We start from the raw sequence: 14,127 nt of genomic DNA, 5'->3' as shown, positions 1-14,127 counted from the left end.
TGTGAGTTGAGCAGAGACTGAGTATACTGGGGAAGCATCGGATGATACGGAGCGGCTTTAAGGGCTCACTAGAGGGTTGAGTTCACGTATGATTGGCAGTTGACTATGGAGCTTAAGCTTAGTAAAGCAGTACAGGACACCAAGGAGAAGGGCAGACTTTGAAAGCATGAATGGGTCCCAATGGTGTTGAAGGAGCATTGGAACTGGGTTACAGAAGGAGTGAGCTTTGACAACGAGCGCTGGTCTGAAAGGGGTTGCAAGGACTTGGGCTGGTGGAGAGGCTGTGGTTTAGAAAGGCCTGGGGTGCAGCCATGAGGGTGCTGAGGCCGGGGGTGGACATGGAGAGGGGACACAGATAGAGCATAAAATCAGTGGGGGAAGGGAAAGTCAAGGAACTGAAGGGCGGGATTTAGAAGGGTACACGTTTGTTGAGGTCACCAAAAATTAAGACAAGGGATGTGTTAGAGAATCAGTAAACCAAGAGCCAAAATCCTTCAGAAATCAGGCAGGGGGCAAGACACAAAATGTGAGTCAGTTTCTCCATTAGCTTTGAAGTTTCCAAATGACTTAAGGATCTTTCTGATGACGCCAGCAAACTGTAGAAGTATAAAATTCAGGCATTTGATAAAGAAACACCATGTTTTTAAATATTAATCCTCCATGGATGATCAATCCTTCAGTGACAATTAGGAATTGAAACAGTAGTCTAAATAATTATTTTGGCTTCTTTGTACCTACAGATGCAAATACAAAATTAGAGGAAATTTCTCTAAGGATAATACTACTAGATATCCCCGAACATCATACATGTGGTAATAGATTGCATAAGTGTTTCTCTTCCCATAATTTCTTCGTGGTTCCATAAAAATCATTTGAAAACGTTGCTAGACAGATTATGAGGAAACATGTGCAAAAGAAAGGTTAGATTGTTAACGCTGAATTACTTTCCTTGGCTTGTGTTTGTTCTGACAGAGATTTAGCTCATTGTCATACAAGTCTCGGGAAGAAGACCCCACTCTCACAGAAGAAGAGGTAAGTTTTGTTTCTTTTTAAAAAGGGAAAACTGTAGTAAAGAATAGACCTTCCCCCCTTGAATAAATGCACTGTAATGTTACCCTTTGAAAGAGCTGAAATATTCTCCTATGCCTATGTTTGGAGATGAAGACTTGGGATGCTGGTTTTATAATGGCTTGGAGAGACTGACGGGCAGGCCAGACAAGAAGGATGGCAGGACAAGTAGTCAGCTCAGGAAAAGAAACTGAGCAGGAAAGCAGGGTCAGGAAAAATAGAGAGGGCAGGGGAGAAGAGTGAGAAGAGAAAAATTCCAGCGTGGGAGCAGTCAGCAGTCAGGAAGACCACATCAGAAGGAAATGAATCATGGGTTGGAAAATTCAGGAAATTAGAACAGGTGAGTGTAGGGAATTTGCTCCAGCCTGGGAGACAGAAAGAGGAAGTCTCCGTGGGGAAATTTGGATGCTGAGAGCAGATTAACTTCAGTAAGTACAGTTCCAGGCAGGAGCTAGGGTCAGACATAGCAGCCAACAAGAGCAGATCGCATATTCCCAAGCACCAGGGTGCAAAATTCACGAGTTAGATTTTCAATGAAGCATTAAAATTGTTAAAGCCAGTATTATACATATAATATGAAATATGTGTATATATACATATTTCATATGTATATATATAAATGTTGAGCTATGCTCAGAGAGCTAAACACCTTAATTGATCTAGCTGTATATAGCTTCTATCTGGAATTCCTAGCAGAGTAAATTGTGTACATGTACAAGAGCAAAGTACATATGCAGGTACATCACTTCCTATAGGACTCTGAGTAAAGCATTAGAATATGGACATAGACACCCACGTTGAATGTTCAAAGAGCAAAAATGCTTTCCCTAGGTGATATTGCCCACCCTCGTCCATGTTTCTACCTCCAGAATGGACCTGCCATCTGTCTATCTGGTTGCACAGACCAAAACCTAGGGGTCATCTCGATACTTCCTTTTCCTCACTGTCCTCCAACACAGTCAATTGCCAAGACCCATCAGTTGCACCTCCAAACTGTTTTCTTTGTGTACCCACCTCCCTCAAGCCCACTGCGGCCGCCCCTCCCTAGGCCAGAGCAGTCCCCTCCTGCTGATCCCTGGCAGCTCCTTGGCCTCCCTCCACTCTGTTTTCTACTCTGCAGCCAAAGTGATCCCATCTGGGACAAGAAGGTAAAATATATAGGAGTTCTGGGAATTAAAGACTATGTAAAATTTTAAATTGCTCCTTATCTTACATTTGTTTGTATTTTTTGAAACAGGACCTAGTTATACTGATGAATTTTTAACATGACAGAACTATGACTCACAGACATTCATTTTAGGACAAAGAGGAAAAATAAATATGAAAGTTTTTTTTGTATTTATGTAATTTAATGTTAAACAGTCCAGACTGAAGCTGAGATCTGAGCTTTAAGTTCTATTACCCCAATTTAACAGAATGTTATGGAAAGGATTGATTAGAAAAAGAAGAGAAATGGGGAAAAGGAAGAGAGTAACTTATGGGAATATAGCAACAATTTACAGACTGAGGAATAATGATGAAAGTTTTAAAGAGAAAAATTGAGAAGCTAAATAGCAAGGGGGCTGGAAGAGAAACCTGTATACAAAATAAAAATAATAGTCATAATGGTCATAGAAAACAGTCAAAAGGAATATGAGAAGACTCAAGAAGCTTTTATAAAAGTTGAAATGTACAGTGAGACCCTCTGCACACTAGGTTCATTCCCAGAGTCAATATTAAATTGCAAGTTAATGAATGAGGACAAAGGCCAAGAAGACCAAGTACTCTTACAAAGAGTGAGGGGCATTAATTACAAAGACCAGGGGGAAGAAAGCTGAGGAGAGAAGCTAACGGTGGTGAGGGGCTGACTCTCATTGTTACAATCTAGGTCAAGGTACATTTGTCCTCCTTGATGTTACCAGGTGATGAATACGCTGGTATGCCGTCTCCCCTCACCATTGTCATCCATTGTTTACCTTTTTATAATCTGTCCACATATAATTTTTGGCTTGGACCACCATTTAGATAATACATTCTGTGTTTGCACTTCCTTATAAACAGCAGTGAATTTTTTTTATTAAATTCAAAGAAATTATAATTCTTGTATTCTGAGAGCAGTTTTTTCATTAAAACCTCTAAGGTGAGAATGTTAATCATTTCATATTCATTAGGATAGTCAGATCAACATAGTAAGAGTTTTCCAAAGACTGTTTTTCTGAACTGTAAACCCTTGGATTGTCAAGGCCTCACCAAACTGAGCCAGCCACCAGCCTGTAATGAAAAGTTCTCATGCAAATGACCAGTTAGCATGTGGCAGGCCTGTCTTAAGAAGCTTTTGAGACATAAGAAGGCCTGTCTTAAGACAGGCCTGTCTTAAGAAGCTGGAAACTTCACCTGCAGTATGTGAGAAAAGTGGAAGCAGGAAAATGTCCCTCAGCCCTTGGGAAGCCAGGCATCTGTGAGGAAGCATGTTCATGTATTTCCTGGGTATTTGAATGAATCAAATCACTGTGATAAAAATAAACACAGGTAATGAAGGGTATTTTTACTTATTTCCAACCGTGATTTTTCACAATAAAATAATACTCCCCAAAAGTCTCCTAATTAGTATATTTAATCTTCACAATGAATGAAATCCCTGTTGATATCGGAGGTGATACAGGATTTATTAGTGAGACTGTGGGGGTGTGCTTGGAAAGCCACTGGCTCTTAATAGTATCCTGTAAGTTGTCATTTCTGACTTGGCTGGTTGCAAGCGAGAATGAGTTTTCCCACTGAAGAAAACTAGACCTGGACTGTCAATGTCTGTTTAACCAGTAATACGCAACTAAGTCAAGAAATAATGGACAGGAATACCCTTTCAGATATATGTGTACCACCAACGAGAATCCAGCAACGGGTGTTGGAGACCACTGTGATGCAGGAAGCATGGAGTAGTCTAATTCAGAGTTCTTATACTTTACTGGCCATCAGAATCAGCACCGGTTGCTGGGCCCCAGCCCCGAGGTTCTGATTTGGTGGTTCTGGGATGAGGCCTGAGAACTTGCCTTTCTGACAAATTCCCAGATCCTGTTGCTGCTGGTTTACAGCCCACACTTTGAGAATCACCGGTCTACTATGTGTTTTCTGTCCTTTTTTGTAAAGCAGTGGAGCCCCTTTTCAGGCAAAATATCATTCTGATAAAGAAATGAAATAAAACACATGCTGTGGTCAGGTCCCCGGGGCCTTCAGGAGCTTCCCACTCCACCTCTCCTCAAATTCCTCGGCAGACCCAAGAGAACTGGGTTTTCACGGAATTAAGGGAATATGACTGATCTAGTTAACATAGTTGAAGATAGTGTGTGTAATTATTCTCTAGTAATGTGCTCCATAATTAGTACAGATAAGAAAGAACAAATCTTTAAGGAGTACACACACAGAAACCCAGGAGTGCTCAGTATGTAGCTTGTCACTAAAAAGAGGGAGGGGGAAGTCACAGCTGGAAGTTTATTCAACTCTCCCTTTGTCTCCTAGATCTCAGCTATGTACTCATCAGTAAATAAACCTGGACAGTTAGTGAATAAATCGGGGCAGTCGCTTACAGTTCCGGAGTCCACCTACACCTCCATTCAAGGGGACCCACAGAGGTCACCCTCCTCCTGTAATGATCTCTATGCTACTGTTAAAGACTTCGAAAAAACTCCAAACAGCACACTTCCACCAGCAGGGAGGCCCAGCGAGGAGCCAGAGCCTGATTATGAAGCGATACAGACTCTCAACAGAGAGGAAGAAAAGGCCACCCTGGGGACCAATGGCCACCACGGTCTCGTCCCAAAGGAGAACGACTACGAGAGCATAAGTGACTTGCAGCAAGGCAGAGATATTACCAGGCTCTAGCAACCCAGAAGACAACCCTGGGTAGCCTGTGATCAGTGTCTGGAGACGTTTCTTCTGTGGAAGAGAAGAAGTGACACAAACCTATACTTCATATGCTGCTTTAGTCACCTGAAGATGGTTGGAGAGGCCCTGTCGACTGTTCTCCCAGTTGTTCAGTTTCTGAGACAGAGAGGTACGGACTAGGCTGCACCTGAGTGTGCCCCTGCCTGCCAGATGGACAGGTACACCCAAGCACATCTCCCTGCTGCACCCTCACCACCCACAAAAGATCCCAGCTGTCAGTGGTCTCATCTCATTAGTGAGGAAAGCCAAGCTGTATGGAAAAGCTGCACTCACCAAGGACCACAATGCCCCCGGCCTAAAGTACTGCCATTCAGAAAAGCAGGTTTTTCTTCCTCTCTTTCCTTTTCTCTGTCTGCTACTGACTTTAAGGCTTTTTCCCCCTTGAAATGTCCAGATTCCTGTGGTTCATCCCAAGGAAATTTTCACACAAAGCTTGGCCTTTGCCCTCAATATAGGTGTTTTAGGATGGTGACAAACCATGGCTGCTGCTTTCTGCCCAGCTCGCCAGTCCTCCCCAAAGAGTTGCGCATCAGCACCTGGGGATCTGGACCCTGCGGGTGAAGGGATGGGGAGGGACGTCCCTGGAGTCTCTTCTGTCTTTGTTCCTTCTTATTTTGGCATTCGATATCAGCAGCCTCTCCCCAAAGTACTTGAAGTCAGTTTTAGATGCTTTATTTTATTTTTCTAGTCAAAAACGTGTTTCCCCCAGTGTTTGAAAACTCGTCCGAATCTTTTCAGTATTTTCCATGAGTATTGTGGTACTTCTAGACTTGTTTAAGCCCAGAACTCATTCCTTCAAAACAGAGAGCCTTAATCTTTATGTTGGGACACAGACCACATATTTGGACGGCAGCCATGCATCCATCGCTGAAGGGCTGTGGACATGAATGTGTATTTCCCATGGTCTCCGCTGCCCACACCAACAGTGTGGCATCTCATAAGTTAACTGCTACCCTAAGGTAATCTAAGATTAAAATGTAAACATTTATTTTTGTTATGTAAGTTTATAAGATGTTTTATGTTCAATGCCTAATTTCTCAAAAGTGCCAGAAAAAAATGTATATTAGCTATTTTGATTTTATGTACAATGATTTATACTCTCCTTTTGAAAAGATACCATAAAGCACATAAGCTAGATCACTACAAGGAGCTGTTATCTTTTTTCTAATCAAGTGTTTAAAACACTGATGGTTTTTAAAGACTCACCTTTTTAAATGGTACTTGGAGCTCCTGATTCAAATTACCTAGACCCCCTAGAGAAATAAATGGAATATACATAAATAATCATTTTCAGTGGTTTATGGTGGGCAATATTGCAATATTTGAAATGGTAAAAATGGAAAGAAGAACAAAATATGATGAGAGGTGGCTGTGAATTATAAACCTCATAAAAGTGTCATAATTCCATTAAGGTTTAATTATATTTTTTCAGAAAACAGTGATGAATTCTGTAGTCCAGTGCTTGCCAATGCAAATTGCCTATTGGAATCTTCTTCCTATATTTTACAAACATCAGTGGCTGAAATAGCTCAGAGTAAGAGCTCAGCCTGGTTTGAATTTAATCATCTCTTTAGATCTTATAAGGCCAGCATTAGGAAACTTGTTCACTTTTCATTTTCAAAGGAGCCTAGTTGAAGTGCTATTATGAGTGTGGGCTATGGAAAGACAGCTTTTCCTACACTGATAAAGAAAAAAAATGAGGAAATTATTTCATCCCCTTGTGACATCTGTGACTTTTTGGATTTAATAATCTTGCTGTTTTTCCTCTTTATGACAAAGAATATAATTGGGAGGATGAAGTGTCTTAAAAATTGTAGAGACCAGCTCACTGGAATGTTTTTCCATCCCTGTATTCATGGCTTGACTTTGTGACTGCTCTACACTGCATGTCTGACATTGCAGAGTGAGCTATGTTGAGGTAAACTGGTTGGTTGTCATTATTTTGCAATCAGCCTGGTCTCTCCCATGAAGATGTCGTGTGCATAAGCACAATCATCACTGATTAGAAGATCACAGCAGAATACCCTTGGATTAGAGAGAAGTTCGTACCTTGCATTTCTCTGAATTCTAGTCTCTCATAAGCACTGCTTTGCTGGATGATTTTCACTGCTTTGTGTTAATGACTTTGAGCGATCTCTCACATGATGGGGTTCTTTAGTACATGGTAACAGCCATGTCATCTTACACACCTAGCATTGTGAATGCTGTAGTGACATCCTTTATAGGCACCTTACAGCTCAAAACTTTTGTTTCATTTCATGCCTTACTTATCAAAAAGGCAGGAAAGTAGGTATGATCTCTAAAGTAAAAAAAAAAAAAAAAAAAAAACTTTTTATAGAAAGCTCATAAATAATCATGTCATTTTGCAATTTTGTTACCAAAATTTCCCCCAAGAGTTTTCAAATATTAGTTCTGCAATGTGGCTATGAAATATGCACTGAAATATACCTTTTAATTTGAGAACCAGTGGTTAGAATAAGCTGTGATATAAAGTATTTTCAGTGTACTTTTAAAGGAACTATAAGGCCCTCCAGCATAAACGCTAAAAGAATAGATGGTAGCACAGGCCATGAGGGCTGGGGGAGAGAAGCAGAGTGAACCTTAGAAAGATGGCTCAGCTATTTGGAGCACTGGATATTTTACTGAAGTTATTTACTGAGGCACCATCACTGTTTTGACTGTACAGTATAGTTTTTCATAAATTTCATCACATTTACTTTGTTCAGAATCTGGGCTTGAATCTTTGAGTTGGACAAAAGCCTATGGTTTCTTTTAAAAAGTTTCATCTTGAGCTAATGCTACAGTTTAAATAAAATGTATGAAAGGTAGTTATCAAAAACAATTTGTATATTTAAAATTCTATTTTGACATCCATTTTTTACAGCGAATTATAGCAGGTTATGTGAAATTTAAAAATAAATTTTAGGAAATTTTTTTATCTTGTAAGTAAGAATTATAAATCTATCTCAGTTAAAAGTAGGATCTTTGTTTTTATTCAGATATTTTGAAAGTTTAGAAGCATTTTGTATGCTACTTTGGTATTTCTTAAGTATAGTCAGCAGGAAAGGGTAACCTGTTTTATGCAAAATTTTTTTAATTTGTCAAATGTTTTTAGTGTGTCTACTTTCTGAAATAGTCTCAATATCCTGTCTGTATCCTAGGCAGATAACTACACAAGAACAAAACGCTATATAGAAAAGAAAATATTTGAGGAAATCTTAAATTCCATAAGAAAGTAATTCTTGCAAGAATGTTGGCTACATATTTTTTTTTCTGTCCTGAATAAATTACATCATTAGGTCTGTTGAAGCTTTTGAAGCTACCACTATTCTTTCTGGGATAAAGGCTAATTACTGATTTATCTGCCCTCAAAATCCCAGAGTTAATTCTAATTGAGTACTAAATTAACAGTAAGTAGTTAACACAGAGAACTAAAATTTAACCGCATTATATCACTGTATATATTTCTCATGATTTTTGCTAATTAGAGCATTTACTTAACCAGTAATAAACTACACACACACACACACACACACACACGTATACGTGTGTGTGTGTATATACTTGGCTCTGACACAACTCTGGTGCTTAATTAGGATATGTTCTATTATGTATTTTGAATGTTTATCCTGCTAGTGTGATGAACTTTTGTTGGAAAAGCAGAATTAGAAGGAACAGTTTTTCAATCAGTTTCATTTGGTAATTACAGGAAAACCTTGAGTTGCTCTAATTTAATTTTTCCAATTAATACATTTAGACTTTAAATTGCATCCGTAATTCTCTTGGCTGAAAAACAGTGGTATTTTAAGACAGTTTTGTTATACATGTGACTTACTTTTGACTCAGCCTGAGAGGAGGAAATGTAAAGAGATAAGAGATTTGGCCCAAAGCAGCAAGAGACTAGTAACCTTGAGCCAGGACGAAGCCAAGACAACGTGACTCCCAAGTAGCAGGAGCAGAGGTCGGTCACCTGTGGCATTCTGTTTCATTCCCTTTTAAAATTATGAGACTTTATAGGCAGTGTAAAACATCAGCAGGCAGCGATGTGATAGGATGTGCGAAAAAGCTGGTCTGATACCATGGCTATAATTACAGAGCTTTAGTTCAATTAGGATTTTGTAAATGAGCAAATGACCTTTTTTTCCAGTGCCCCTTGTAATAGTTAATATGAGTCCATGCAATCTTGTGATGCCATTCTCCTGAAGGTGTTGATTTCTGGTACCCAGCCAGCTTAGCTTTGGCTGCTGGAAGCACAGTAGGTACTGATGATTACTTCCTGGAAATCTTGACAGGCTTATTGTACTGTGTAATGGGGAAAAGTTAAAGTATAATGTTTGGTGTTAATAAATGACTGATGTGAAAATAGGAACATGTGTCTTTAATATCAAATATGGCTTTATTTGCAGTGAAATCTAAATTCCTTATTCTACAGTAGTATTTTCTTGCCCTGTGTTGTATATTTTCCTAAATACATTTTTCCTGACAGTGGCTTTAGGCCAGTTGAACACACTTAGACTGAAAGTGTTTAACTTAAAGAGATCAGTCCAGAAACCATGATAAATTAGAATCTTTATCTGGAATTACCAAATTAAAATTTAAAATCATGGTCCAGAAGAGAACAAACATTCATGGTTTTTTTTATCCTACTGCTCATTTTTAGGTCTGTGTTTACATCTAGTCTCTACTATTTGTGAAGTATGTCATTATTTTTTTCAAGTTCTTCTTTGACTTAACTGAAAAATAATATTCCAAATTCTTAATGTAACATGAAAAGAGAAATACAATTTTTGCTTAAAAGACATTTTTTAAAAAGCGTTCAATTCAGTAATCATTTCTGTTAATACAGGAAGTTTTTTTGGCTTGCCAGTTATATACTGTGGGTATTTTTTAAAATGTGCTACCCTTGGGTTGTCTCATATCACCTTGCGTAATCATGTATTACAAAGGTTGATAATTGTCATTTCTCAGATGTCTGTATGTTACATTGGCAGCAGTAAAATGTTTTAATGTTGTTACCTTTTAAATAATTGTGTTGTATTAACATGCCTCATATTTTCTGGGGAAACTTGAAATATATCTAAACAAAAAAGGTCTGTTATAAATAGGAATTGGCATTTCATTGTTAATGTTTTTTCCTCATAAAAATAGTTACACCAAAAGTGACATATTGTCTATTACATGGGCCCAATCAGTATTAAAGTACTCCCCTTACTCAAAAATATTAAAAAATAATTCATGACACTTAGTAGCATTTTCATTGATTGTTTCAAAAGATCTTCATAATGGTCAAATTGTCCAATTCACAAAAGAGTGAGAAAGTTGTTTTCAGTACTGGGAATTTTTAAACCTTAGTTTTAAGACCAAAAATATCTCTTATTAGCTTGAACATTTTGTGATTACTTTTCCCTCCCCGGATCTAGTCCTTTTAAGGAGTAAGTCTAAAGAATGAGGCCATGAAGTCACTATTTCCTCCCACCTCAGTTTGTCTCCTGGTACTTAGCTGGCCTATCGCTTTGTGTGGCAATACCCCTGGGTCGCTTCCCCACTCAGCCTTCTGTATCTGCTGTTCACAGGACATGCCATTATGTCTTTCCAGTACGGATCACAGTGCTGCCATATCACAGACCCTGCCAGCCGGCACAGAACCATGCCTCGTCACAGCTCTGCCCAACTCACAGGCTGCCAAGATGAGGCCACAGGTCCACCTAGGGCGGCAGATGCTGGTGCTATTTGTCACGACTTTTGCCAAAACATGTACACTGTTGCTCACATCTTTCGTAAGAATGGTTGACACTAAGGGGCCATGGAAAAGCACTTTTAAAAAATTATGTGGTGGAATCAAACTCACAGAGGCAGAAATGTTAGTGCCGTGCTCTAACCAAGTAAGCTTAGTGTTCCCCACAGTGATCTGTATCTGGCCTGAGTCTCCTCAAGCAGCAACCCCCACTGTCCAGCATGTGGAAGGTAGATCCTTATGACAACACCAGACCCATAGTTACCAGGAAAGAAAAAGGAAGCTGAGTGTTGTGAAGGGGAAGAAATCCTTTTTATAAGAAGTAATCATTTTTAGGCCGGGTGCAGTGGCTCATGCCTGTAATCCCAGCACTTTGGGAGGCTGAGACAGGTGGATCACTTGAGGTCAGGAGTTTGAGACCTGCCTGGCCAACATGATGAAACCCTGTCTCTACTAAAAATGCAAAAAAAATTAGCCAGGCATGGTGGCATGTGCCTGTAGTCCCAACTACTCAGGAGGCTGAGGCAGGAGAATCACTTGAACCTGGGAGGCAGAGGTTGCAATGAGCTGAGATCGCAACACTGCACTCCAGCCTGGGCGACAGAGCAAGACTCCATCTCAAAAACAAAAACAAAAAAAAAACCTTTTTAAAGTAAATTGAGTGTAAAATGTTTTCACCATGAAGCCATTGCACCCTCTCCCCCAGGAAACAGTGCCTAAGGATGATGTCAAGTTACAGCCAGTTTGCTCTGATCCCCCAGGACCTAAGAAAACTGTGAGTGCTTCAGCATGCAAAGGTAGAGCTACCAGATAAGGAGAATAACTTGGCCATTTATAGCAAACTGCCTGACTTTGGAGTGAGAAACCAAGCACCTTCTAGGTCCTAGGATAGGTGAATTGGAGGTGCAGCTGCTGAAGTTCCCATTTTCTACATACTTCAGGAGCCAGGGTGTTTCATTTGGTTTTGTAAAACTTTGCTGTAAGTCATCACAGTTAATTCTTTGAATGGACATTTTAGAGTGTAACTTTTTTTCAAAATTAGCAGAACAGATATCTCTGCTCATTCTCTTTATACATTTAGTTTTTTAAAGTTCCCCTAGTATACCTGTTAGGCACTCTAAATAGGACACAGTTAAAGCTAAAAGAAGGACCAGTTGCTCCCTAGAGCCTACAGTTCAGAACTATCTTGTTGTCATGTCCTGGTTTGGTTTGGTTTGTTTTTAACTCAACAAGTTGGAAACCATGAGTTTAAAGCAAACTATTTCCTTTTCTTAAGCTTAAAGAGAATTTTTTTTTTAATCTTTAGCTCCTCATTTAGGTAGTGAAGGCTTCCCTGAAAGACAGCAGTGCCCTTCTCTGGAAGAAGAGGCTGGGACCAAAAGCCTGAGTCTATGGGTTGAGGATTTTGAGCATTCCTTTGACAAGCTTCTATGTATTTTTAATATAAGACTCATAAATGAACCTGATGTGGTGTTCATGACCCATCCCTTAAGCATGCTTGCTTTTTTTAACTTTACTTTTTGAGTATAGTACTTGTCTTGTTTTTCCTGGAGCCATGCTAGGATTTAATTCCTATGTGCCACTACCCGCCCATGTCCTGGAAGATGGCCATGCCTGCAGCAATGCTCATGTCTTGAGGAGAAGCAATGTGAAAAGCATCAGGAAAGCTGAACCTTACGTTCAAGTCAGCAAACATTTGTGAGCATTCTAGTATGCTTGCGACCTTGACACTTTTTAAAAATTATCTTTTTATTTGCTTCGAGTATCAACCGTATAGTTGACTCTAGTGGGGCGAAGGGAGCAGAGATGAGAGCAAAATTCAGACTTGCTGCCCCTGTGTGTCTCAGTTCTCATGTCTCTCTGAGAAATGTGTTGGCCCAATTCCCTATCTGCCACTCTGAGTCTCTTGAGTAAATGTGTGTAAATGAGAAAAATTATCTCAAAGATTTAACTTATTATTTAGATATTTTCTTCTTTTTAAACTCAGGAATAAACCTGGTTTGTAGATAATATAATATGGCTACTAGAGCTATAATTGAGTAGGTGACTAGAAGCATTTTTTCAAATATATTTCTTGTAAAGACATCTACTTTGTTTTAACTAGGAAAAGAAACTCCTCATATTAAAATAAACATTTCCATAAGCACTTTCTAGAAGAGTGTAGCATCCATCTACCATCCATCCCAGAATGTTTGTATCTTGCTCATAGTATTTCAAAAATTTTTATGGGTGAAAAAAATGCACTTTTTTATTTATTGGAAAAGTGTAGAGTTATTGAATTAAATTCTCAAGTGGGACAATTTAGTGTAAAGGGAAACATGGGTTTTGGAGACAAGAGCACAGGGCTGTGGTCCCTGTTCCAGCATTGACTTTACTATGTGACCTCGAGCAAATGATTTAACTTCTCTGTGCCTCAGTTTCTCCATATACAAAATGGGGATAATGATACTAACCATTGCCTACCTCATAGAGATGTTATGGGGACAAACGAAATAATAGAGATAAGCACGAATGCTTTCAACTCTTCGGAAGAAAGGTGCTATATAAATTGAAGTTGTGTTTTTAATGATCCAATTATTAATTATGTTTAGGGTTTAAATAACAATACTGTTAGTCATGTTAAGAATAAGTTTTGTTTTGATGCATATTTCCACTTCTCTTCTGTGGCCAGATCTTGATCATTCAACCAGTAATGGTACCTGAGGAACTGAAATGGGTATTTGTTTTCGTATGTTTCTGCCAGTAGTATTTCAATTGAATATCCAGAAAAGACTGGAGTTTAACTTGTAATATCTTATAGTTTACATGTAATAAAACTTATTCAAGCTATATATAAAAGTATGATTACATGTAAATAGCAGGTATGTTGTAATTAAAGGCACTTATCAAATTGTCTTTGTTCTTTTTTAATTGTAATAAAAGTCAGTTTTACATAAAGGCTTGTTAAAATTTATTTGGTATTTGAAAAGGTCAAGAATGGCTAATTTATGTACCTTTCATACATTACCAGGGTTTTGGGATTCCAGCAGTCAACTCACCACCATAACAGGAAAGATAATGTTCCTGGTAATCAGACCAAAGTGTGTAGAGGTTAGCATCAAAAACTTTGCAGAAAAGGACCCGAGTTTGAATCCCGGCTCCATCATGACTTTGAGGAAGCTGTTAGACTTCTTTGTGCCCTCCTTTTCACATTAGGAAATGGGGGATTATAGTATAGAACCTGCTAATGGGGTTGTCCTGGGGATTAAATGAGATATTAAGCATGGTACCTGGCAAGGTGCTAAGTGCTCTGTGCATGGTAAGAGACCATCTTCACAAAAGGGCTGGGAAATTTTTGATGGCATTTACCCACACTTGCCAAGCACTCCTATGAAGATGTGCAACCTGAGAGCAAATAATTCCCCAGG

The 14,127-nt window shown here is 39.0% G+C and overlaps 1 protein-coding gene across 19 annotated transcripts in view; it reads left to right on the top strand.

Annotated features, from left to right (window-relative positions):
* Positions 1-13,657, top strand: part of PAG1 (phosphoprotein membrane anchor with glycosphingolipid microdomains 1) — a 144,259-nt gene extending 130,602 nt beyond the window's left edge. For 18 of the 19 annotated variants that reach the window (XM_047421993.1, NM_018440.4, XM_047421992.1 and 15 more), the window contains 2 exons: positions 973-1,032; positions 4,561-13,657. In XM_047421993.1, the coding sequence (XP_047277949.1) occupies positions 973-1,032; positions 4,561-4,923 (423 nt within the window). In that variant the 3' untranslated portion in view covers positions 4,924-13,657. The remainder of the gene's footprint in view (positions 1-972; positions 1,033-4,560) is intronic. The other variant, XR_007060746.1, reaches the window with a different exon arrangement.
* Positions 13,658-14,127: the final 470 nt, after the last annotated feature.

The sequence above is a fragment of the Homo sapiens genome, chromosome 8, assembly GCF_000001405.40.
Source record: "Homo sapiens chromosome 8, GRCh38.p14 Primary Assembly".
NCBI lineage: Eukaryota > Metazoa > Chordata > Mammalia > Primates > Hominidae > Homo > Homo sapiens.
This window is presented reverse-complemented; position numbering and strand designations above follow the sequence as displayed.